Source organism: Homo sapiens, chromosome 5 (genome assembly GCF_000001405.40).
Source record: "Homo sapiens chromosome 5, GRCh38.p14 Primary Assembly".
In the NCBI taxonomy this organism is placed as follows: domain Eukaryota; kingdom Metazoa; phylum Chordata; class Mammalia; order Primates; family Hominidae; genus Homo; species Homo sapiens.
Genome location: NC_000005.10, coordinates 159,913,849 through 159,938,756, shown reverse-complemented (window position 1 = coordinate 159,938,756; position 24,908 = coordinate 159,913,849). Strand labels below are relative to the sequence as shown.

The window sequence follows — 24,908 nt, the reverse complement described above, 5'->3', positions numbered from 1 at the left end:
AGTGAAAGCTAATTTAATTAGGGTCTTATTAGTTGTTATAACTACTTTTCAATGAAGCTTTATTACATTCAACTATGCAAATCCTAAGCAATTGTATTAAATGCTGGCAAATGACCCATTAGTCTTTGATTTCACTTCTTTTTTTGCATTGTTCACATCTATCCTGAGATTCAGATGCCTGTAGTTCATTTTTCCTCTTTGAAGCCAGGTGCAGCCTTGAAGGCATATTTTCTGTTCTAGTCTCATTACCCATTCTCTGGGATTCCCCATCCACTTACGCTAATGATTTGATATTGGAGTGATATGTGGGGTGGAGAAAGGCTAGGAAATCTCTCCCCAGTGGTCTTCCATATTCCCTAACGTTTCCATCATTAATCACTCCATGGTTGGAAGACTTTGAGGATAAGGGCCCCTGGTTGAAATGCAGATGTCATTTTGGAGGCAAATGCAGAAAACCATTATTATGAATTAACACCTGAGGATTAGCTCATCATATTAGCTAATTGGTCAATACAAGATACTTCAACAGAATGGATTCTGGATGGAGTTTTGATAGTTGCTGGTGTGTAGAGGAGGATGAAAGAAAACCAAGAGTTAATTCGTTTCTGCTGTGCAACAGTCACTGGGCTAGATATGTTCACATATATTATCTCATTTAATTCTTTTAACAACCTTGATATGAATGTATTATTATCACTGATAATAAGAAGAGAAGAGTCAGCTTCAAAATCACACAGCTAGTAAGAGGAAAAGCCTAGGAGAGCACTGAGGTGTGGGAAGCTTTGGCCTCCAGTGGGGCAGTGTCATGACCTGGGGGGTTAACAACTTCAGAGGATTGCCTGAGGCCAGGCAAACCCCAGGACCAGTGACTATGGGTCACTAAAGACAAACTTGACAGGGCTCACAACTTGGCCTGAGCAGTGCTGATCTCTTTTGTTCTGTTTCTTTTCATCCTCAATGGGCAGTGTGATGTCATAGTATGATGTCATCATTAAGAGACTAGGATCTGGGCCAGGCATGGTGGCTCACCCCTGTAATCCCAGCATTTTGGGAGGCCGACGTGGGAGGATCACGAGGTCAGGAGTTCGAGACTAGCTTGGCCAACACGGTGAGACCCCGTCTCTACTAAAATGCAAAAAATTAGCCGGGCACGTGGTGCGCGCCTGTAGTCCCAGGTACTCGGGAGGCTGAGGCAGGAGAATTGCTTGAAACTGGCAGGCAGAAGTTGCAGTGAACCGAGCTCGCACCATTGCACTCCAGCCTGAGCAACATGGTGAGACTCCTGAGACTCTGTCTCAAAAAAAAAAAACAAAAAAACAAAAGAGAGGCTAGGATCTGGCATGAGGCCGACTGAGATTCACATATCCTGGTTCCAGCCTTTTTGTGCAGGTATGACCCTGGGCAAGTTGTTTAAACTCCCTAAGCTGTGTTTTTCTCATCGGGAAAGGAGATAATAGCAACTTCCTCATAATCTGCTGGGAGTTATGGAATATGTGCCAAGCATCTGACACCAGGCAAGTGCCAGCGAGCAGGGATTCCTCCACATCTGAGCTGGTGTTGGAGTGCTTCATGGCTATAGTGGGAAAACAGGAAATACACATACAGGGAACTTCAGGTCTGTTCTTATTAGGCTGGTGGTTCTTAAACTTAAGTATGCATCAGTAGTACCCAGAGGGCTTGGGAAAACCCAGACTGCTTGGGTTGCACCTCCAGTTTCTGATTCAGTTGTTCTGCGGTGGGATCTAGGATTTGTCATCTATAACAAGTTTCTGGGTGATGTCAATGCTGCTGCGCTGAGGACCCCACTTGAAGACCCGCTGGATAAGGCCACTCACAGTGGATGCTCTCTGACAACACAGTCAGCAGCTCCAGGACAGAGTGTTCCAAGTCCACCTGAGCCTGGGGTGAGTCAGAGAAGCAGAGCTCTGGCTGTTTTCCTCTTTCCCATTTTCTACCCTGCCTCTGTGGCTTCCTGAGTCCTTGAGAGCCAGTCCTTGTGAACAGGGGCCAAAAATATTCTCTTAATTTTGATGCCTTATTTATTTATTTACAGCCACGCCAGTTCCTGGGCCTGCTTAGGTTGAAGGGATTTTTTTTTTTGTGGTTTGAATAAACTAATTTTTGGCTAAAAGCACTGATACAATTTGTTTTTCACGGAGAGCAAAGAGAAGATAGGCTCCAAGTAACAACTTCCAATTAATCTATCAGTCTGAAAGTTTACATTATTAATAGGCTTATCATTTTGATTTAACAAATGGTATAGACATCCTCAGACATGCAGAAAAAACAGTGCTTGCTGTCCATCATTCTTTTCATCAAGAAGGTGCAACTCACTGGATACCAGTGAGATAATTTATGTAAAATTGTTTAACACAATGTCTTTCAAAGAACAAATTATAATAATTTATGTTATTGTGTTTACTGAACAAATGTTCATTGAGCCCTTATAAAGTGACAGAATGCTTGATGTCAGGTTTTCTCCACTTCAACAATGATTGACATGTTGGGTTGGGTAATTCTTTGTTGTGGGAGATCTCCTTTGCATTGTAGGATGTTTGGCAGCATACCTGGCCTCTCCCAGTTAATGCCAGTAGCACCCCCAGTGTGACAATAAAAAATGTCTCCTGACATTGCTAAACGTCCCCTGGGGAAAAATTGCTGTTGGTTGAGAACTACTGATTTACATGAAGAGTCTTATTTCATCTTTGCAACACCCAACAAAATTAGCTGTTATTTGTTTATTTTAGAGATGGGAGAAAAGAGGATCAGAGAGTTGAGCAATTTGCTGAAAGCCACACAGGTAGTAAAGAAGCAGGAGTGGAGTTTGAACCCAGGACTGACAATCCAGAGCCTCAGTCTCGACCACTATTTTTGCTTCTTAAGAGTATACATTTAAGAATGTATAGAAGAGGCTAGGTGCGGTGGCTCACGCCTGTAATCCCAGCACTGTGGGAGGCTGAGGCGAGCGGATCACTTGAGATCAGGAGTTGGAGACCAGCCTGGCCAACATGGCGAAACCCTGTCTCTACTAAAAATACAAAAATTAGCTAGGTGTGGTGGTGCATGCCTGTAATCCCAGCTGCTAGGGAGGCCGAGGCCTGAGAATGGCTTGAACCCAGGAGGTGGAGATTGCAGTGAGCCGAGATTGCGCCACGGTTCTCCAGCCTGGGTGACAGAGCGAGACCCTATCTCAAAAGAAAAAAAAATTGTATAGAAGAAAGTCCATTCGATCACAGACATTGTGGTAATTGCCTTTGGGAAGGAGAGAGGTGAATGAGATGAGGGGTGGGGCGCCTTTTATATATATTTGTAACATTTTTATTTCTTAAAAGAAGATGTATAGCAAATTCAGCAACATGTTAAATTTGGATGGAAGACTCATGGGTGTCCCAAATTACTTTTGTACTTTTTGGAATGACTGAAATATCACAAATCTAAATATTGAAACAATTTTAAAAAGAAAGAAACATGACCGTAAATGTTAGGTAAAGTCATCTGATATTTTTGACCATGTGAACATCATACCTGGCACTCTAAAAAAACTTTAGCTTTTTACTCTTTTGCCCTTTTTTAACAGACAATTTTCCCGACTATTCAGTGAGAAGGAACCCATCTCATTTTTGTTTCCTCAAAACACATAGCCCATTCATCGAATTTGTCATGATCATAATATTAACAGGTACTTAAATATCTCCTCTGAAGTGGATGCCAGATTAGAGGCTTCGTGTATATTAATAGCTGACGTTTATGAAATATTTACTAGTGTTTTGCACCCAGCTGAGTCCCTTTCATCCGTTTCTTGTTTATTCCTCACTACAATTCTTTGAGGTTGATGATTTTGGTGTCGTTTTACAGATGAGTTAACTGAGGCTTAGCAAGCTGAGCAGCAGAGCCAGACAGATATGTCAGATTTCAGCGTCCCTGTTTTTTTTTTTTTTTGAGATGGAGTCTGGCTCTGTCTCCCAGACTGGAGTGCAGTGGTGCAATCTCGGCGCTTACTGCAACCTCCACCCTCCACCTCCTGGGTTCAGGCGATGGATTCTCCTACCTCAGCCTCCTAAGTGGATGGGATTACAGGTGCCTGCCACCATACCGGGCTAATTTTTGTATTTTTAGTACAGACGGGGTTTCACCATGTTGGCCAGGCTGGTCTCAAACTCCTGACCTCAAGTGATCCGCCCGCCTCGGACTCCCAAAGTGCTTGCTGGGAGTATAGGAGTGAGCCACCACCTGGCCTTCAAGTCCCTATTCCTTCTAGTACAGCAACTCAAGCAGGAGTCTTGAAGAGCTAACAAGGGTGTCTCAGAGAAGAGAAGGTGCCAGCCGTCTTCCTCAAGACGAGGGGGTGGGAAGGCGGTGACAGAGGCAGGTGACAGGAAGGGCTTTCCTGGTCAGATTCTGGGAATCACTTGGTGAGCCCAGGCTTCTGGCTTAGTGCCATTCCCAACCCTGTGGCAAGTGGGTCAAAGTTCACCCAGCCCCTGCCTTGTCCTAGTTGCTGGTTCCAACACCTCTAGATTTAGTACAGTTTAAAGATAACCCAGCTTCTCCCTCTAGATCAGTAGTTCAAGGGTAGGATTAAATTATGCCTCTGACTGACCAGGGCCCATTGGCTCCCTCTCAAAAGGGCTCCTTCCCTGGCAGAATCTGCTCAAGCAGCCAGCTCCTTGCTTCTTGAGTGGTGCTCAATTGAGTTTTCAATTCGTGAGTCTGGCATCTTCCAGGGCCAATCCGAATTTTGCAACTAAAATGTGGTGCATTTGCCATGCCCTGATCTAAATATACGCTGTCTACTGCATTCCCTCAATCCACACAGGCCCCCACGGTGGGGTAGGGGTGAGCTTGGATGCCTAGAGGAATCCTTCCTTATTAACTCATCCTTTGAGTGCCTCCAACTGGATTGTTTTCCTGGGGATGGCAACAGTGTTTTCTTTTATTTTGTTATGGTTTTAAATTGGGACGTCAGTCCTGGAGCCTCAAACCACTGATGTGGGCTGCCAGGCCCACCACGTGTGAAAGATCAAATCTGTTTATACGCTGTGGCTGACTGCTTTTTTTTCTTAGCTCCTGGATAAAATACACACATTCTGAGGCTGTTGTCTCCTCTGGCTCCTCTGATGGATGGGTGTTGCATCCCAACAGGGCAGCTAGCTAGCCCTGAACTCTGGAAAACTGACACCAAATTAGCTGCAAGGATTTGAAGCTTTCAAGACATCTTATCACCTCAGGAGGAAGTCAACGTAGATGCCTGAAACTTCTTGTGCCTCAGGCAGTGAGACGCTATCAGCATAAAAACTGGCTTCTTCATCAATGTTGAAACAGACTTTGTGGATGTGCAAATTGCTACACCCTTCCCAGAGAGTAATTTGACAATATACATCTGAGGCCTTTCCCGGGAGTCTGCCTTTTCATCTAACCATTCAAAGTGGACTTTATCCCAGTGAAATCCTAAAAAGCAAGTGCCCTAAAGATATTAAGGAAAAGAATGTGTGTAACAGAGTATTTATCACAGCTAAAAACTGAAAACATATTGCACATCAAGAGGGAATGGATTATTTTAAACATATGAAAAGATGCTTAACCTCATTCACAAAAATTCCACCTGTTAAGTTGGCAAAGATCCAGAAGTTTGATAACAGCTCTTAGTGAATGTGTGGGCACCCTCAAATGTCAGTTATTGAAATGCAAATTGATATAATCTCTACATAAGACAATCTGGTAATATTTATAAACATGAAAACATTTACTCAGAATGGTCCACTTACAAAATTTTACAGATATATTTACTCATGTGGAAATTGGTGATGTATAAAAATATTGTTTTGTAGTAACAAAAATTTAAAATAACCTACAATGTCTTTCCATGGAGATCTATCTGAAAAAAAGAAATGCTATGGAGCTACTAAGAATGAAGCTACTCTATTTGGAAATGGAATTTCCACTGAAATTGAAAGACCTTCAAGATACATTGTCCAGTGAAAAAAGCAAAATGAGGAATAGTGTTTAAGTTATTTCCATTAAAAATATCATATAAATATATTTATATATGCATAGAACATATCTGGAAGGATATATAAGAAACTGTTAATAGTGGTTGCCTCCATGGAGGGGAATTGGATGACTGGGGCCAAGGAAGTGAGAGAGACAGACTTTTCACTCCACATTTGTACCTTGTAAAGTGATACCTTGTGTGTGTCTTATCTATTGGTGTAAATGGCTTGTTTACATAACTGGATTGGTTAAGTATATTACGATACCTTCTATTATGGAATTCAGTGCAGCATTAAAAAGATGGGAAAGGCTGAGCGGGGTGGCTCATGCTTGTAATCCCAGCACTTTGGGAGGCTGAGGCAGGATGATCGCTTGAAGCCAGAAGTTTGAGACCAGCCTGGGCAACATGAGGAGACCCCATCTCGACAGAAAAATTTACAAATTAGCTGGGTGTGGTGGTGCACACCTGTGGTCCCTGCTACTTGGGAGGATGAAGTAAGGGGAGGATCGCTTGGGTCCAAGAGTTCAAGACTGCAGTGAGCTATGATTGTGCCACTGCACTCCAGCCTGGGTGACAGAGTGATACTCCGTCTTTAAAAACAAAAAAGAAAAGAAAAAAAGGAAAAACAAAAAAATGAAAAGACTCAGTTTCATCGATATGATAAGAAGTCAGTCAGGATGACTTGCTGATCAGTGAAAAAAGCACTGGGTGATCCAACTTGTGTTAATACACGCAACAACACACACAGAAAATTCTGCAAAGTTGCATAGGCAAATACTAAAACATGGTTATATCGATGGTGCTATGGTCTGAATGTTTGTGTCTCCCAAAATTAATATGTTGAAACTTAATCCCCAGTGCAGTGTTGTTGGTAAGTGGGTCATGTGAAAGGCAAGTAGGTCACCAGGGCAGAACTTTGATAAATGGGATCAGTGTACTTATAAAAGAGGCATTCGAGAGCCTGTTTGCCCCTTCTGCCATGTGAGGACACATAGAAGTCACCATCTATGGGCAGGTCCTCACCAGACACTGAATGTTCTTGCTCCTTGATCTTGGACTTCCGAGCCTCCAGAACTGTGAGCAATAAATTCTGTCATTTATTATAAATTACCTAGTCTAAGGTATTTGGTTACAGCAGCCTGAATGGACTGAGGCAGGTGATATGATTATGGATGATTTTTCCTTTCTTTTTTATATTTTGCTGTTACGTATAAATTACCTTTTGCTACCAAGAAAGAGAAAATTCTTCTCATTTTGAAACGAATAAAAAATCAACAACTTGACAGCATGATTTTGAACTGGGGGAATGAGCAGGGCTGTAACCAGCAGAGGAAAGGGCTGAAGTCATTTCTTCATTTTTTTTTTTTTTTTGAGATAGGGTCTTACTCTGTTGCCCAGGCTTGAGTGCAGTAGTGTGGTTATGGCTCATTGTACCCTTGACCTCCTGGGCTCAAGGGATCCTCCCCACTCAGCCTCCCTAGTAGCTGGGACTACAGGCCTGTGCTACCACATGAGGCTAATTTTTATTTTTTATTTGTAGAGATGGGGGGTCTCCCTATGTTGCCCAGATTGGTCTCGAACTCCTGGGCTCAAGTGATCCTCCTGCTTCAGCCTCTCAAATTGCTGGGATTACAGGCATGAGTCACTGCTCCCAGCATGGGCCAAAGCAATTTCTAAGTGTTCCGGGGCTGGTAATCACAGAGCGGGAGATATATTAAATATATATAATATATATATTATTAAATATATATAATAAATATTATAAAATATATATATTATATATATGTTAAATTAGATTGAAAATGACTAAGAACAACAATCTTCTTTTTTGGCCATTGATAGTTTTTCTTCCAAAATTATAAAAATGTTTAATAGTCCCCACCATAATTCTACTGAAACCCAATTTGTATTCTATCACATTTTCTTAATTTGATGTTCTTAATCACAAATAGAGTATTTGCTTATTGCACCATGTGAAATAATACAGAGGTTATAAAAAAGCTAATAATCTACTCCTCCTCACTCCATCGTATCCCTTGAGGTAACTAAACTAATAAATAGCTTTTAAAAGTTGGGTTAGACATTACTCTATAACTTGCTTTTTTACTTAGATATTATGAGCAATCCTCCTAACAGATTAGTAGATGTATATCTAACCTATTTTTTTTGTTTGTTTGTTTGTTTTTGAGATGGAGCCTCACCCTGTCACCCAGGCTGGAGTGCAGTGGTGTGATCTCAGCTCACTGCAACCTCCGCCTCCTGCGTACAAGCGATTCTCTGGCTAATTTTTATATTTTTAGTAGAGAAGGGGTTTTGCCATGTTGGAAGTCTTGTCTTGAACTCCTGACCTCAGGTGATCCACCTGCCTCAGCCTCCCAAAGTGTTGGGATTACAGGCATGAGCCACCGCGCCCGGCCTAACCTATTTGTTTTAACACCACTTTACATTTTACTGTAGTTTAAATTTCTTATTACGCATAATCAGGTTAAACCTAAAATACCAAATCTTCCTTGCCCCAGCAACTACATTTTTAGGAATTTATCCTGAATATGTGGGCACAGACATATATACAAGAGTATTCATCCAACATTGTTTGTAGTAAAAGACCAAAAATAACCTAAATGTCAATCAACTGGGAAATTGGTAAGTAAAATAGGACACTTTGTAAAATGGATTATTATGCAGCCATGAAAACCAGCAGTAACTCTATGCATTCTGACACAGAACTATGTCTAAGATATGCTATGCTGTTGAGTGAAAAATGAAACTTTCACTGAAGTGTTTCTAAAATGACACCACGAATCAAAATAAACAGAGTGAAAACACACACATTCTGCATGCAAAAACACTCAAACATACATATACGCATGTGGATATGTATGCTTACAAATAAATAGACTATTTTGGAAAGCATACACAATCTGGTAACAATGTTTACTTCAGGAGAAAAAATACTGAGAGTGTTGGGTGTGAATGTGGGGTAGGTAACAGCAGAATAATTTTTTCATTTTTTTTTTCTGATTCAAATAAGAATCTATGCATCATTAAAAAATAAACTAGTTGATTTTTAAAAATTGCTACAAGTAATCATGCAAAATAGTTACAAGGCGTGATGGCACGGTCCAAGTTCCCTGTGGTCCTAAGTCTAAAAACAGGCATTCTTTACAAAACATTGTAAAGAAAAAAAGTATAGAAAATCTCATATCCTGAAGTACATCTTTGTAATGTCCCGAGGCAGGGTTTTTATTCTGGAGTTAGAGGGTCCATAAACTTGGGTGAGAAAAAAAACCCTCTTTTTAAAAAAAAAAAAAATACAAAAACCAAAAAAAACCCAAACTAAACTTTGGCTGAAAGTTTGCATTTCCTTTGATAGGAAAGTGGGCAAGCAGCCACACTAGAGTCAGCAGGATTTGTCACCAATAGAAATCAGATCTGTGATATAACATTACATTTGTTGCAGATATCTTGAAATATTTCCACTTGTCAGTACTTCAAAATTATAGTAGTTATTTATTTGACTTGCTGCTAGATCTTGTTTATTTAATATGTTAAAGGACTTTTTTTACTCTATAATAAATTTGTTTTTTCAACATTATAACTGTATTTCAATATAATTGGTTTTCTTTGAAATCCTGTGTCTTTTATTTGATGTGTTGACTGTGAGAAGGGGCTTCATCAGATTGCCAAAGGGGTCCGCGAAACAATGGAGCCAAGGAACCTTGGTGTTAAGGTAAATGCTAAAGGGCTGGGGACAAGGAATCACAAATGGGCGCTGTGGGGAGTGTCCCTAGAAGCTGGGAGAAGGGACCCTACTGCTTCCTCTTGATGCCGGGGGCTGATTAATGGCCTGAATATATGAATCGGAGATGCAATTTTTTGTTGCTGTTCCAGTTGGTGGATCCTCCTCCTCCCCAACCAGCTGCCTCCCTGGATCTCCGCCCGGCCCAGTGCTGGTGGTGTGAGCCCTGGGGCTGACGCCTGCGAATGACAGTGAGCCCGGCTTGCCCTTGGTCCCATTTTAACCTCCTTTTGGGGCACGGCCAGGGTGCTAAGCTCAGCCTCTAAGCAATGCACATTAGCCTGGCAGGAAACTCTGTCTTGAAGAATTTCAAAAAATTCTTGTGCAAAACCAAGCCCCAAATTCATCCCAACAGGAGAGAGAAAGCTTAGCGGGGAGCAAGACACTGTAGGCAGACACACTTGGAAAAAGTTAAATGGGGCTCTAGGAGGAATGGGCCACTTACATGTGCTAGAACATTCTGTTTCTGAACACTTTAAACTGAACTGCTCGTTGGTGCAACTTTTATAGCACAATTCCTGTGCTCGCACCAGAGAGGGGCACTTGAGTGTTCAAAGGGTGGTCAGATGAGCTGCGGGTGAGTGTGGCCAGGAGTGTGCTGTCAATAGAGTCGTAAGAGCAGAGCCTGCCAATGTGGACAGATTCTACTGTATCCTGAGCTGACTCATGGTGCTGTCATGCCAGGAGGGGTGATGATGGGTGGGGTGAAGATGGCCCTCCCCCTGCACTGATTCCAGCCTTACAAGTCCTTAAAACACAGCTCACTTTCCTTTTCCTCCCCCAAATCTTATTTCAGCCCACTCTTCTTTCTGTCTCCTCTGCATTCTGAAGACACCCATCATTCAGATGGCACCTTTTAGCTTGTGCTGAAATTGATCCATTCCTTCATTTAATCATTTATTCCCTAAGTATTTAGGGCTGGCCAGCCATAGATTCAAATCTTAGCTCAGCCACTCACTCATGTCATCGCGGCAAGTAAAATAAATGAACACTTTATTTAAAAATTTCAAGCCCACATTTGCAAAACTCCTGCTTCCCACGAAATACACACATAGTAAGTCACATTTTTCCTTTTTAAACGGATGATGGCTTTGCTCTCTCATCATGAATCTTTCCCTGGACTGTTGAGGCTGTTAGTGCCAGTTTCTCTTTCCTCCCCATCTGAGGCTCTGGTGTGAAACTGGTGTACTATTGGACGTCTGCACTATAAACACCCTTATTCCAGGTTTTAAAACAGGGAGACATTTTTATTGTTCAAATTGAGACACTTTTGAAAATAAGAAAGGGTTATTATAATAAGTATAATTATGCTTTGATAATAGGCATAAAAGGAGACCATCTCAGTGAAATGGGACATATGGTCACCCTATTAGAAAACAGTGATATATTACCCAACAGAAAGACCCAGTGTGTCTTCAGAGCATTCGCAAAGCTGGGGCACCTGTATTTTTGGTGAAATAATCTGATATTAAAGAAATCAAAGTTACCTCCATGGAAAGAATCAGAATATTGTTGGCCTTCCTTACATTTTTTTTAGGGTTCTATGCATACGTGTGTGTGTGTGTGTGTGTGTGTGTGTGTGTGCATGTTTTAATTTATAATTTTATTATTCCCTTTTCAATACCTTAGGCCTTTAGAGGTCTCTATCTGGCTCTGCTATAAAGTCACTGGAATAGTTTCCTCTTTTCCTGCTTCTGCAGGGATCAACTCTGACCATATCCCTCTCAGAGGTGAGAGGCAGGTGACCATGGCTAGAGGGTGAGGGAATGTAAGGGCCAATTGGCAATGGGACAATCTCCCCCAGAGGCAGGTGGAACGGCAGCCTTTTGATAAAGAATGAAGAGGCCATCCATTTTCAAGATCCTACCTTGTGTCCACACGGGTCTTGACCTAGCCAATCTCGCTTCACCGGCTTCATGACCAGGCCCAGATTGGCATTTTGGTTTTAGAATACCAGTCTATGACAGTCTCTTTTTAATGAACTTGTGGTAGTTTTGAGGAAGGAGACAAGCCACTTAACCCCCCTGAGCCCATTTCCTTATTTGTTTACTTATTAATTTAATTTAATTTAATATTTTTGAGACAGAGTTTTGCTCTGTCTGCCAGGCTGAAGTGCAGTGGTGCAATCTTGGCTCACTGTAACCTCCACCTCCCAGGTTCAAGTGATTCTCCTCCCTCAGCCTCCCAAGTAGCTGGGATTACAGGTGCCCGCTACCACGCCCGGCTAATTTTTGTGTTTTTAGTAGTGACAGGGTTTCACCATGTTGGCCAGCCTGGTCTCGAACTCCCGACCTCAAGTGATCCGCCCGCCTCGGCCTCCCAAAGTGCTGGGATTACAGGTTTGAGCCACCATGGCTGGCCCCATTTCCTTATTTATAAAATGGGCAGAGCATGAATACCTATCTGGTGGGCCGTGGGAGGTTCAAATACTAGAAGAAGTCTGGTACACGCTGTATGAATCCTATTGGTCATTGCTATTTTTATTGAGTTTACTATGTACACATCCCTGGGCACGAAGGACAAGAAGACAATTTGAACTTGGACCCTGCAAAGGTTTGCAGCCTGGCAGTGCTGCAAAAGTTGTGCACATCCATATTTATCCCCAGAGAGAAACATGACAAGCACCATAAACCAGGGATAAAGGGAGTGATTACTGATGGGGAAAAGGGTGGGATCCAGGAAGACTTCGCGAGAAAGGTGTCAGCAGAACCGCATGTTTACAGACGAGCAGGAACTGGATATTCAGAGGGTATGAGAAACACACTGGTGGGAGAGGGAACAAATGCACAAAAAAAAGAAAATGCAAAGTGTATTTGGGAAGTGGCAAATAATTTTACTTCAATTGAGTGCACTCTTAATTCTTCTGCTAGGCTCTGTACTACTCATTCATTCATTCATTCAGCTTGTGTGAGCACCCATGTTCGGCAGAGAGTTGGTCACTGCTTAGACGTCCACAGTAGGTAGAGGAGAAAGAGCAGTCACGAGGTTGCTGGAGAGAGCCCTGAGGAGAGTAGCCTTAGGGCTTCCCTCTTCATGGGACCCTACACGACCTGAGCAGGGGCCCTGCAATGCCCCCACCATGGCCACACAAAGTTTTCAGAAGTAAGGTTTATTAATGCAATTGGTTATTCCCCTTATTTAAATATTATTCCTATTTCTCCGTATGCAGGTGGTAATACAGGGGCCATGGACGTTTTTGGGAACCAGCTAAGAGTTGAGTTAAGACAGATTTTGTGTGGGTTCTGTTGAATATACGTATGTGGTTTACAGTCTTTTCTTTCTGTATAGCTAGGTCACCACTAGCCACAGTAACTCCAAAGTGAAAAAACGGCTTCTAGAAATACTCTCTCGCCCACGATGCCAACTCACCTGATCTTGTGGCATCAAGAGGCAGGACCAGAGGCAGATTCATGATGGAAGAGTGTCCCCATGGTGCTGGCACCACACGTAGGTGGGTGGGTGGTGGTGAATCCGGGTCTGAAATGTATGCAGCCAGAAACTAAACTGTAAAAAAGTCCTCTAAATTTTATGTGTTTCTCCAAATTTGATAAAAATCTGAAAACCGTATGTGACATTACCAATAATAAGTTGTGAAGCTGAAAAAAGTCTTCTAAAGCATCAATAATACAAGAGAAATTTTGACTTATCTTCCTAGAGGAACGACCCAATTATTTTTATCTTCTTTATGGTCTCACCAGGATATGGTGCCTCTTGGTTGCTGAATGACGGGCAGCCACATGCTTTTTCTTTCCTCCTTCTAGAATAAACTCTGGCTTCCCCAGTTTCCTTCCTGCACTTTCTTAAATCTGGCTCAGAGCCCCACCTCTAGGAGAGCTCCAATGATGAACCCATCTGACTGCCTGCATTAGAGTCCATGTTCTGTCATTGATCAGCTGGGTAACCTGAGGCAAATCACTCAATCTCTCTGAGCTTCTGTTTCCTCATCTGTAAAATGAGGACAATACCAGTGCCCACTTCACAATCCTGTGGACAGGTATAAATGAGGGAATACAGAGAAAGAACTCCTAGCCAGCATGGAGAGCACAGTAAGCCTGGCACTCGATGAGACCTAATAAATGGTAGCTATTAGTATTACTATTATCAAATGTGGTTAGGAAGCACAGTGACTGCAGAAACATTCGGCAGATATGGCAGAAAGCAATTTCCAGTGCTGCCCAGCAGACATCAGTTATTTTTACTAGCCACACACACACTCAGGTAAAGGCATTTCCTGCATAACATATCTTAATAGATGCATCCGTGATGGCACTGCAGCTACACACGCACCTGCTGGCATTTCTGTGAGCCGTTTTGCTCCAGCAGGGGTGGGTGCCACCACGACTGGCCCCGTCATCCTGTCAGACCTGACAGGCATAGCTCTTCACACATCATTCTTCCCCTCCCTGCCCCTCTGCCCCAGATCTCCGAATCTCACATCAAAGCTGAGGCTAACTCATTCACCCAGCCCTCCTTCCTTCTTTCTTGCCGTCACTTCTTTCCTTCCTCCCTCCCGTTTTCCTCACAAATATTTGTTGTGTCTAGCCGCCATGGTGTCTTCTGTGATTCCAAGACTTTAGGAGACTCAGTAAAGTTTGAAAAAAATTTCTGAAAGGGATTGACATAGGGTACTAACTTTTAATTTTGCCAAGTAGGATATCAACACACACATACACACGCACAGAGACATTCACACACTATTGCCACTAATTACCATCGTTCCATCAAAGAAGTGCTATTTCAGTGTCCCCAAATAGAAAAGACAGTCTTTAGAAGAAAAAGAATCATTTACATGAAATACATTTAGTTTTTAAAAGAACACAGCATTTTCCTAACTTTCTGATTCGTCATAAGCCAGTAAAATCTCTGGGTGCCAGATCTCAGACAAATGTTGGAGAAGAAGTGTACTAACAATAGGAATAATATAATGAATGTTTATTGAGTGCCAAATGTGGTGTTTGATAGACTCTACCATTTACTAACTGTGTGATCTTGGGCAAGGTACTGAACCTCTCTGAACTCTAGTTCCCTCACTGTAAAGACAGGGATGACGATGCTTGCTCTGCAAAGCTTTCCAGGGGTTTCTAGGCATGGGGAGGACTTGTGTGGTGCTGGCTGCATAAGAGTCGCCTGGGAAACTTGTTAAAATTAAGATTCTTGGCACTACAAGGAGAGAATCTGATGCAAGAGGTCTACAATGGGGTCCAAGGATCTATTCTTTTAAAAACAGCCCCCTCCTCCAGATGTTTCTGATGAGCAGCTAGATTTGCTGTTGCTCACAGCCCCTGGCTTTTGGGTTGGACATTCTGTCTACTTGACTTATGAGAGTGTCTGGCAGATTGTTCCTCGCATGATGTATTCAGAGGAAAATCTTGGGAGGTATCTTGTTTGCTGTGTTCAGGCTCCCCCTTCCCACTCTGTTCCCCTTCTCAACAAATGGTACCTCCATCTACTTAGAAACCCCAGGGTTATTCTGAACACATTTCCTCTCTTGCGGACTCTCTTATGCCGTCACCAACCCATCCCCAGGTCTTGAAGCTGTCTGCTTCTCCACCTCCACTGCCCCTGCCTAGTCTAGGTCATCATCATCTCTCACTGCCACTGCAAAGCCTCCTACCTGTCTCGTCTGAAGTGTATGCTCCACACAGTGGCTGCAGTCACTTTTAAAAGACACGATTCAGACAGTATCTTTCATCTGCTTCGAACCCTGCTGTAGTGACCAACACACTTAAGATAAAAATCTAAAGTCCTTAATGTGGCCTAAAAGCCCTTGCATGGCCCGGCCTCTGCCCACGCCTCTGGCCTTGACACGCACCTGCCTCCCTTCTAATTCTCTGGGCTCTGTTAGTTCTCCACTCTCTCTGGCCTCAGGACTTTCAAGTGTGCCCCTCCTCCTGCCCACACTTTTCTTCCTCTATCAGCCCCCTTCACTGAATTAGCTTCTCCAAACCGTTGAGGGTTCCACTTAAATGTCACTGCCTCAGGGACCTATGATGTACTAACCCCTGTTTTAGAATTCTAGCAGCATCACACTCCTTTTCTTCAAGTCACTTGTTGCAGTTTATGTTCATGTTTGTTTGTGCATGTGTGTTTTTCAACATCTCTGTGTTCCCTACTAGAGCCAAATTCTATGAAATATAAGTATTTCGCTCACCATTATATCGTCAGTATAATGCCTGGACACAGTACCCACTGAATAGATACATATTTATTCAGTGAATGGATGAATGATTAAAGATGTGAACCCACATCACTAGAAGGGCAAGGTCCCTCCCACTTTTTCTTTTGGTTGGGGTGGCTGACAAAATGCCCAATCCTGAGAGACCCTTGTCATACACAGTACAGGAGAACATCGAGCCCTGAGCTAGAACATGGATGACCTGCCCTGATATGTCATAGGTTGGTTATTTTTTCAGAAGTGAGCAGGCAGTGGAAGAAAGGCAGATTTTGCAACAGAAGCATCATTACTAGTTCTTGACAGGGTGGTTCTGGGTTTCCTGGAGTACATGTGCTATGAAAACAGGTTGCTATCAGACAGCAAAAGGGCCAGACATTTCCTTGGTGTGCTGGAACAGGTATGGGTCTGTTCTGACGGACTTGGATTCAACTTTTGGCCCTATCACTTACTTGATGTGTGACCTTGGACCAGAAGTTTTACCTCTCTGAGCTTCAGTATATTCATCCATAAAAAGGGAGCAGTTACTTTTGCCTGTTAGAGTAGCTGTGAGGATTAATGAGATAACGTCTGTAGGAGGCCTAGCAGAATGTCTGGTACATGGTATGTATCCAATAACAAATACAATCTCACCAGGCTGTAAGCCTTCTTCAATCAGGGGCCATGTTTGTTTTTGGCTTGATAACCCAGTGTCTGGTACAGTGCCTGGCATGTAGTAGATGCTTTAGGAAGTCCTTATTAGTGATTTAATACATGGTCAAATGGGTTTTACTTTAGTAGGATTTCCCTCTTCCAGGAAGGATTCCCGTGTGTAAAAACTTCCCCCTTGCCAAGTACTCAAACCAATTGATTTATTTGTGGGCAACTCAAATCCCTGTGTTTTGAAATCTCAGAGCTGGAAGATTAATGTGTGTTTGTCGGGGTGGCTCTGTCTTGAGTCATCTCTGAGAACCTTGTGCTTGTGGAAGGTAGAAATTCGTCAGCCCCCATTTGAATGAAAGGGCTGGAGGATCAAATCAATGGAGAGAGGGATTTCTATTTTGTTCCAATACTATGGAGAACAAAACTGTTTCTTTGAAATTGACCTTCATTTATTTGGAGGGGAAAGCAGTTAGTTCAATAATGGCTTCCTGGTGCCTTCCAGCATTTTAAAAGACAGAAGAAAGATTTGGAGCAAGGCAAGGTTCCAGTGTTTTCTAAACAACTCACTAAGCCCAGCTACTGGTTGGCTGCGGAGCACTTCCTGCTACCGGCCCTGCATCCCCCAATTTCCCCCACTGCTGCAATGCACATCCTCAATAGCTCAGCCACTTCTTGAGACCCTGACAAGGCCTTCCCTAGGTGGGCTGGAAGTTAGCCTTCATTTTAATGCTGGGCAGCTGAAGATTCTCTGACATCTTGCAAATGGCTCATGGAGTAAGAAATACTGCTATATTCTATTCCAATTATTTCCTGTCCCTCCCTGGCCTGATTCCAGGGGCCAAATAAAGAGGTCCTTGTTTGGTGGAGTCCATTCCTGCTCCTGAGTAAGTGAGCACTGGTCCCTGGTCCAACTTGGTCTGAGGCCACAGGGAAAGGGTGGGGAGGACATTGGAGAGGATGTCCCAGGTGGGGAGAGCTCTGGAGGAGACAAGAGGCCCTGCTCTGCAGGCAGCCCAACCCTGCTTCCAGAAATAAAAATAAGAGATGAAGGAAAACAAATGGGGCCCCTGAACAGGATCCTGTAGGGGGCACAGCTATTTTCCCTCTTTCCCAGGAGAGATCCCAACCCTTCTCTCCCACGGAGAAAACAAACACAGCTATGGAAATCTTGTGCCATCCTGGCACCTGAAAGTCTATCACCAATTGGAAGTTGCTCCTACCTGCACTTCTCCCTTTGCCAAACACAGTCCTCCCCCACATCTGCTTCCTCCCCTTATGAGTGAAAAAGTTTTCACGGAAAATTTAGAATTTGGAACCTTCTTCAGATTCCAAAGAAGTTATTGTTCTATATCATGCTGCTTTTGCTTGGGTGTTATTTCAACTCAGAGAAAGTAGAAACTCACATCTCTATTTTGCTGGAATGCTCTTCCTGAATCATTAAGAAAACAGTAATTAAGTACCTTCTTTGTTTGAAGCTCTTGAGTACTTTTTGAAGCCCATCTCAAACTCAAGTCCTAGAGTCCACATTCCCCACATTATCTGTTAGGTTTTCAGGGAAGAAGGATGTTGATGGGGTCGGCTCAGGGACAAATCACTGGAAGATCTCTGGGAGATCGTCGCATGATAGTCGGAAAGTTTTCATCGCAAGGAGAAGAGAAACAAGATAGCATCAAGGTGGCAAGAACCTCTCACTTTTTATTGTGTGGAAGCTCAGGACCTGAGATGCTAGGGGGACAAAGTCTCAGAAAGGCACAGACAGAAAGGAGAGAGACGATGGGGGTAATGTGAGTAAGAAGAAAGTGAGGGTGGGCTTGATGACTTGAAGAGCAAGACCCAGAGAGAAGCCACATCATCTCACACTACGATGTGGCTGGGAAAGGTCTGAGATTGGCAGCATTTAAAACCCTGGCTTCCAGGGTGCTGGGCCTGAAGGAAACTGAGAAATTTTCTGGCCAGTGATTCTCAAAGCCTGGTCTGTGGACTACCTCTTCAGAATCACCTGGTGGGCTGATTATACCTGCAGATTCCTGGTATCCTTCTGACTTACTGAATCCTATTTGCTGGGGGTTCGGCCCAGGCAGCTACCATTGTTTATGAAGTTTCACAAGTGATTCTGATAGTTCTCAAAGTTTGAGATCCCTTAATCTAATTCAACCTCCTCGTTCTCCAGGTGTGAGGCCTGAAGCCTAGAGAAGCAAAGCAGCAAGCCTAGAGCCACAGAGCTAATTGATGGCAAAGCTCAAATGGGAACTCTGTTGCTCCTGATCACCAGAGCCGTGTTCTTCCCATTTGAATATGCTGGAAGCCTCCTTACCTGTTTGGAGCTATTTCCCCTGCCCCTAAAAGCCAAAGCCTGCACCTTTGATCCATTCCTGCATCCTGCTGAGGCCTTCTCCTTCCTGAGCATGCTCTGGTCACAGCCTCTGCAGGCTGGAGGCCAGGGGCAAAGGAAGAAAGACTCAATTCTCTTCCAAGACTTTAGTAACAGGTGTGGGATTGGCAAATGTGTAGAGAAGGAGAAAAGACACAGTTATACCGAAGGGGAGATTGGGGTTTGGTTTGTACTGCTCATAGCTAACTTTCATTGAGCATCTGCTATACACCAGATACTGTGCTAAGTCCTTCCTATACATTAATGCAAACTCCATGGAGCAAATATTAATCAGCCCTGTTTTGTAGACGAAGAAACTGAGGCTCATACAGGAGTGGTCATTTGGCCAAGGTCATATGGCTAATAAGAGGCCAAATCACCTCCATCAGCTCCATGTACAACCATGATCTTTGTAATGACCCAATGCAGTGTGAACTGTCATCCACTGTAAACCGAACAAGCCTGCAAAAGAACCCTGAGACCTTGGGAAAGAAAAGCAAGCTTCCCTGCAATGGTATGTGATCACGCCTGGGGAGTAGAACTTTTTCAAACCCTTTCTGCTTAACACTAACCATTGAAAATATTTCTGAAAGGCATTAGCCTGCAGGCCTGCTTTAGAAAAGATGACATGGAGAAAAGGTTAGACGGCTTTTGAAAATCTTTTTCTTTCTTTTTAAATGGAAACTCGATATCTGTTTGCTTCCTTTCTGTTTGCATTTTTCTCTTGAAAGCAGTGTGCCTTCAGAATTTATAGCTGTTTGAGGGATTTGGTTATATTTGGGTCTGACCTGAGACTCCGGTGTGATTGCAGGCATATGTGGTCCGCAGTATAGCAGCTGTTACCTCTCCTGATATCATGGCACATGACTGTGTCATGATAAACTCCCTCCATTCATTTTCTGTAGTGTCCCCCAGGGATAGGAGAAGGAATCAAAGCAGATCAGTGCCTCAGAGGAAGGACAAGGGATCCCCAGGCCATGTGGACAGCATGTGACAGATGCCCCCCTTTAGGTTTACCTGCTAACCAGACCTTGGCTTCTTCCTTAGAAAACATCAGGTAGCCTTTTGAACAATTCAGTTAGTAGGACCACCAAACAAAAAGAAGACGAACATGTTTTCATAAGAGGGGGAGGACGCACTGAATTCCATCTTACCAGGATTTGGTCTCTGTCAGCTGAGATGAGGGACAACTATAATTTGATTCTGGGCATTCCATAAATCACTAGAGTTAGAAACATTTTTGGGTAAAAACTAAAAATGTGTGACCCTCTAGTCATCTTCTCTTTCACATCTCAAGCTTTCAATAACTTAAAGGCTGGTTGGGGCTGTGTGGCTGTAAAATGCTCTTATTAACGGATAATGAACGTAGTATATCTGGGTGATAGCTGTCAGTGAAGAGGGGAGGGAGAGAATGCAGCCTCTGCAAAGCTCTTGAGAAGCGTGGCTTCTGCTCTAGCCCTGGAAATGCTGAATGAATGCTGCCTTTCTGTGTACGAGCTGCCTCCCTGCTTCCCAAATGCCGCGTCTGCAGTAACTACAAACTATTTTGTATGCTGCATTAGTGACGCTGCCTTAGCCGACACATCATTACTACTGAAATAACGCCGGTGTGATATTCAAGCCCAGTGAATATCCTTTTTAATTATTAAACCGAGGCTGTTGAGTGAGTCATTCCTCATACCAGATTTTCCTTCCCTGGTTCTATTTCCAGAAGCTAGTGCCTTAGCGTGTTCTACTAACACCTGAGTTGGTTTTTAGCCAGCTCCCCAATCTGCAAACCCTTTGCAGAACAAACAATATTATTCAATCTCCGAACACGCACAGACTGCATAAGAAACAAAACCCACAAAAAACTTTAGAGTAAGCTCATCAGTAAACCCAAGGTCCAAAAATGCCCAGTCCCCCTGCTGCTAGTCCCCAACTTACCAAGCGGTAGAGCGATGAAGAAGGGTAGCCAGCACAAGATGAACATACCGACCACAATGCCCAACGTCTTAGCTGCTTTCTTTTCCCTGGAGAACTTAAAAAGTTTGACAGCTATGGAACTCCTGGGGTTGTGGCCCTTGGCCTTGGTACTGCTAAGGGTGTCCTCGTGAAAGTTCTTGGAATGGATCCTCAGGGTCAGCTCCTTGGAGTTGGACATCTCCTTCATGACTCCTGCCTCTAGGTTCTTGGTGGTTCTCTTGGCCACTATATAGACACGGCAGTACATGACTAGAATGACCGCCAGAGGGATGTAGAAGGAGCCCAGAGAGGAGAAGAGGGCATAGAAGGGTTCTTCGGTGACCCCGCACTCCTTGTCATCGTTGGGTGCCGGCTCCTTCCACCCAAGGAGAGGCCCGATGGAGATGACGGTGGACAAGACCCAGACACTGAGCAGCGCCAAGATGGCCTTCCTCCGGGTGACCAGCGTGGGATACTGCAGAGAGTAGCGCACCCCGATGTAGCGATCGATGGAGATGGCGCACAGGCTCAGAATGGACGCTGTGCAGCACAGGACATCCACGGCTGCCCAGATGTCACAGAAGATCCGCCCCAGCACCCAGTAGCCGAGCACCTCTAGGGCCGCTGAGAAGGGCAGGACGGTGAAGCTCAACAGCAGGTCGGCCATGGCCAGGTTGACAATGAAGTAGTTGGTGGGCGTCCGCAGGTGCCGGTTGCAGGCCACAGACAAGATGACTAGGATGTTGCCCACGATGGCAAAGAGGATGAAGGCGCCCAGCACCAGGCCCACAGAGATGGCCCTGGTGATGTCCAGCTGGGGCAGTGTGGAGTTGCTCGAGGTCTGGTTGGGGCCAGTGAAGTTGGCATTTTTCAACTCTCCCCAGTGGGCAGGTGCTGATGTGTTGTGGCCGGTGTCCAGGTCGGGATTCATCTTAGAGTCCGCCCTCCATAGCCAGGGGGATGATTGGGCTCGGAAGGGCTGCGGCGAAGGCTCCTCAGCTGCCCTGAAACTTTGCTTCCCCCGTGGTCTTCTTCCCAGAGGCGCCCTCCTGGCGAGGAGTCATCTCCCCCGGGCAGCCCAGCCCGGCAGCACGTCTCCTGCCTGCACCGAGTCGCTCGCTCGCCTGTCAGAGGGAGGAGGAGGAGGAGAGGGGACGAGGCGGCAGCTCCAAGTTTAATGGTCCACGTCAGGCGCGCCTGGCCGGGCTCGCGGGGGAGCGGCGGGGAGGAGGGGGCGGCAGGGCCGGGGGCGCCCGGCGGTGCCCAGCTCGCTCGGGTCTGCGGACCGCGGCGCGTCCTCCGCCCAGCGAGCGCCGAAGAGGGTCTGCTTTCAATGAGCCGCTTCTGGGCTGACTGCACGGCGGTGACATCAGGCGGGGGAGCCCGGCGCCCTGACTCCGCGCGGCACTAGGGGGCAATGCGGGTCCAGCCAAGGCGCCCGCAGCCCCGACGCCGCCACCCCGCAAGCCGGGAAGCCAGCCGCGTCCCCCGCCGCTCCCAGGGCGCGCCCTCTGCGGGGGGCGGGGCGGGGGCAGGGGCCGCGAGGGCGGGACCTGGGCGTGGAGATCGCGGGTCACCCACCCCTAGGCGGCCCGCTGGGGTTATTTTCCCCGCTAGTCACTCTTCCGTGTCAAAGGTGGGTTGGGGGCTGCTTACCTTTAATAGGGGGCTCCCGGAGTGGGCCCCGGATTTAACGGGATATGCAACTTGTCCAGCACCTAAAAGAGGGAAAGAGAATTCTAGGATTGGGCAGGTGGGAGGGACTTGAGTCGGATCTGAGGCCAGCCCTCATCCTTCATCTGGCTCCCCTCGCCCCGTGCAAACTCTTTGGCCCCAGTAAAATCTGGCTTCTCTTCATCCTTTCATTCGCTCAGGCATTCACTCATTTATTCAGCCGATTCTTACGGAGTCTCCACTCTCTGCCCTGGCTCTGGGCGCTGTGAACATAGCAACTGAACAAAATAGACGGACTCCTGCCCTATAGGAGCGTAGCTTCTCCCGACAGAAGACAGACAGTATACTAAATAAGCAAATGATGAGGTGTGTAATGTGATGACAGGTGTTAGGCTGAAAATAAAGTAAGGAGGGGGAAATGCAGTGGGGTGTTTGTGGGGTGGATTTGAAATGTTAAGTGGGTGCTTGGGATGTCACTGAAGTGATATTTGAGGAAACATGAAGGGAATTGAGGGAGGAAGCTAGCTGGCTATCTGGGAGTGGGGGTGAGGGAGGTCAGAGACCTGGGGAAGGGACGTAGAGGATCTTGGTTATTTGTTGAGTTTTTTCCTTTCTGTCTGATATCCATGTTGGACATTCAGTCACAGGGACGCACTCCCAAAGGTGGGTGAATGGTACTTAGAAGAGAAAGTATGGGCCAAGAAAGAAAGAAAGAAAAAGCCAAAGAACTTTATGTTAGTTCACATTTATCCAACATTTATTTTGTCCTAGACAGTGTGCTGAGTTCTTTTTGCATTTTCTCATGACTCTCATGAGAGAAAGAATACACTCTTCACCATTTCTATTTCATGGATGAGACACCAAATTATGGGGAAGTTTAGCTGTTCGCCCAAGTTCACAAAGGCATGGAGGAGAGCTGCTGGGAACTGAACTCAACTGTGGGGTCTCTCCCAAAGTTGGGTACTCAGCTACTGTGTCATACTTTTCCCCCGGGGCAAGGTAGGGGATGGAACCACTGTTATAGATGGAGCTGCCTTTTGAGTAGTTAATTTTGGGGCCTGAGCCACTGGTGCTGGGCAGGGACTCCCATGAATTGAGCGCTTACTGATAGCCATGCATTTACTCAGTTTCTTTGAGACTTTACAATTCTTTGAGAGAAGCATAACCATTGTTCATTGAGAGATGAGAAACAGTGGTTCAGAGAGAGTCAGTTGATTCCTGAGGTCATAGGCTAGCAAATATATGGCAGAGCAATGGGCAGTGGCAGCTGGAGATTGAAAAGTAAAGCCTGATACCTTCTTTTACTCCAGTTCACAAGCCTGCATCTTGGGTTTCTCACCTTCTGCTCTTGATACTTGTTATAACTTGATATTCACGGGTGGGGAAAACAGAAGTCACTCAGGATGACTTACATCTAAGCTTCTCAACCTAGAGGTAAGCTCTTAACCTCTTTTTATTTTTATTTTTTGAGAAGGGAGGCAGGTGGTTATCATACACGTATCGAAGGTTTTAATTTACTCCCAGCAAAGTGCACAGACTCCACACATGTGCAAAATACACAATTTCAGGGGGTTTCCCTCGGGTTAAGAAATCTGTGGTAGAGACAGTCCTGAAAATGGATTATTTTCTATTATAATTAAATTGCCCTAAGCTGTATTTGAAGATTTGATAATAAGAGATTCACAAGTTTATAGTGATTTAGATCTTCAGAAGCTCTCAGAACCTTGGTTTGCTTATCTTCCTGTGTTGGAGGTGGTGCACTAGGGAAAGAGACTTGGCAAGATGGTCAGGAGCAGAGCTGGTTAGGAAACTCTGTTTCCCTGGCCTACAGGACAGTGCTCCTTCTGCTCCTGCAGCCACTCATGACCTACACAGTGGGGTGTGAGACTGGAAGAACTTGGCAGCCCTCTGTCAGGGGTCTTTATTAAAAGGAGAGGCTGTCATTGGTCCTGGGTGGCTCAGACTAGTCTGTCTGCAGATAGGACCTGGCTTAGATGATCTTTGAGATCCCGTAGCTCCAGGTGGTCAGCTTCTCTTGCTGGATAAAGTGGCCCCCGAAGGCACCTGCTATCCTTTCTCTCATGCATCTTCCAGGGTAGGGGTGAGAGTGAGGTATCATGAACTCAGTTCCCACCATTCCCAATGTATCATTAAGTCTAAGATAATGGGGCTTCTCTTGAGCTGGTTTACTTATAAGGGGAGAGGGAGGAGGAAGAGAATACCAGTAACCTGGCACGTAGCTGGCATTAGCACAAAGACAGGGGTGTAGGGGAGGGTAAGGGTGGGATAAAATAAAGAGCAAGTTCCAAATCCA

At 44.9% G+C, this 24,908-nt stretch overlaps 1 protein-coding gene and 1 long non-coding RNA gene across 10 annotated transcripts in view, besides 4 other annotated features; one reads left to right on the top strand and one right to left on the bottom strand.

The window, feature by feature from the left end:
- ADRA1B (adrenoceptor alpha 1B) overlaps positions 1-24,908 on the bottom strand; it is a 124,120-nt gene that overhangs the window by 50,449 nt on the left and 48,763 nt on the right. For 4 of the 8 annotated variants that reach the window (XM_006714821.4, NM_000679.4, XM_005265819.3 and 1 more), the window contains exon 1: positions 20,903-22,275. In XM_006714821.4, coding sequence (XP_006714884.1) covers positions 20,903-21,851 — 949 coding nt within the window. In that variant the 5' untranslated portion in view covers positions 21,852-22,275. Of the gene's footprint in view, positions 1-12,250; positions 12,555-13,160; positions 13,269-20,902; positions 22,276-22,576; positions 22,639-24,908 lie in introns of those variants that run through there. The other 4 variants (XM_047416776.1, XM_011534435.2, XM_011534438.3 and 1 more) reach the window with 3 other exon arrangements.
- Positions 977-2,131, top strand: LOC101927790 (uncharacterized). Of its 2 annotated transcripts, none has more exons than XR_007059023.1 (3): positions 977-1,108; positions 1,747-1,904; positions 2,054-2,131. It is a non-coding gene; the product is annotated as an uncharacterized LOC101927790 (long non-coding RNA). The 2 variants fall into 2 exon arrangements; XR_007059024.1 differs by lacking the exon at positions 977-1,108 and adding an exon at positions 1,334-1,389.
- Positions 9,456-9,955: an enhancer, noted in NCBI's record as "H3K4me1 hESC enhancer chr5:159355809-159356308 (GRCh37/hg19 assembly coordinates)". NCBI's record gives its function as "activates a minimal SCP1, AML or CMV promoter by ChIP-STARR-seq in naive H9 embryonic stem cells {active_cell/tissue: H9 hESC(naive)}" and the evidence as "EXISTENCE:reporter gene assay evidence [ECO:0000049][PMID:30033119]".
- Positions 21,085-21,701: an enhancer, noted in NCBI's record as "H3K4me1 hESC enhancer chr5:159344063-159344679 (GRCh37/hg19 assembly coordinates)". NCBI's record gives its function as "activates a minimal SCP1, AML or CMV promoter by ChIP-STARR-seq in naive H9 embryonic stem cells {active_cell/tissue: H9 hESC(naive)}" and the evidence as "EXISTENCE:reporter gene assay evidence [ECO:0000049][PMID:30033119]".
- Positions 21,702-22,318: an enhancer, noted in NCBI's record as "H3K4me1 hESC enhancer chr5:159343446-159344062 (GRCh37/hg19 assembly coordinates)". NCBI's record gives its function as "activates a minimal SCP1, AML or CMV promoter by ChIP-STARR-seq in naive H9 embryonic stem cells {active_cell/tissue: H9 hESC(naive)}" and the evidence as "EXISTENCE:reporter gene assay evidence [ECO:0000049][PMID:30033119]".
- Positions 22,382-22,441: a silencer, noted in NCBI's record as "silent region_16574". NCBI's record gives its function as "represses an Ori minimal core promoter by ATAC-STARR-seq in GM12878 lymphoblastoid cells {active_cell/tissue: GM12878}" and the evidence as "EXISTENCE:reporter gene assay evidence [ECO:0000049][PMID:35858748]".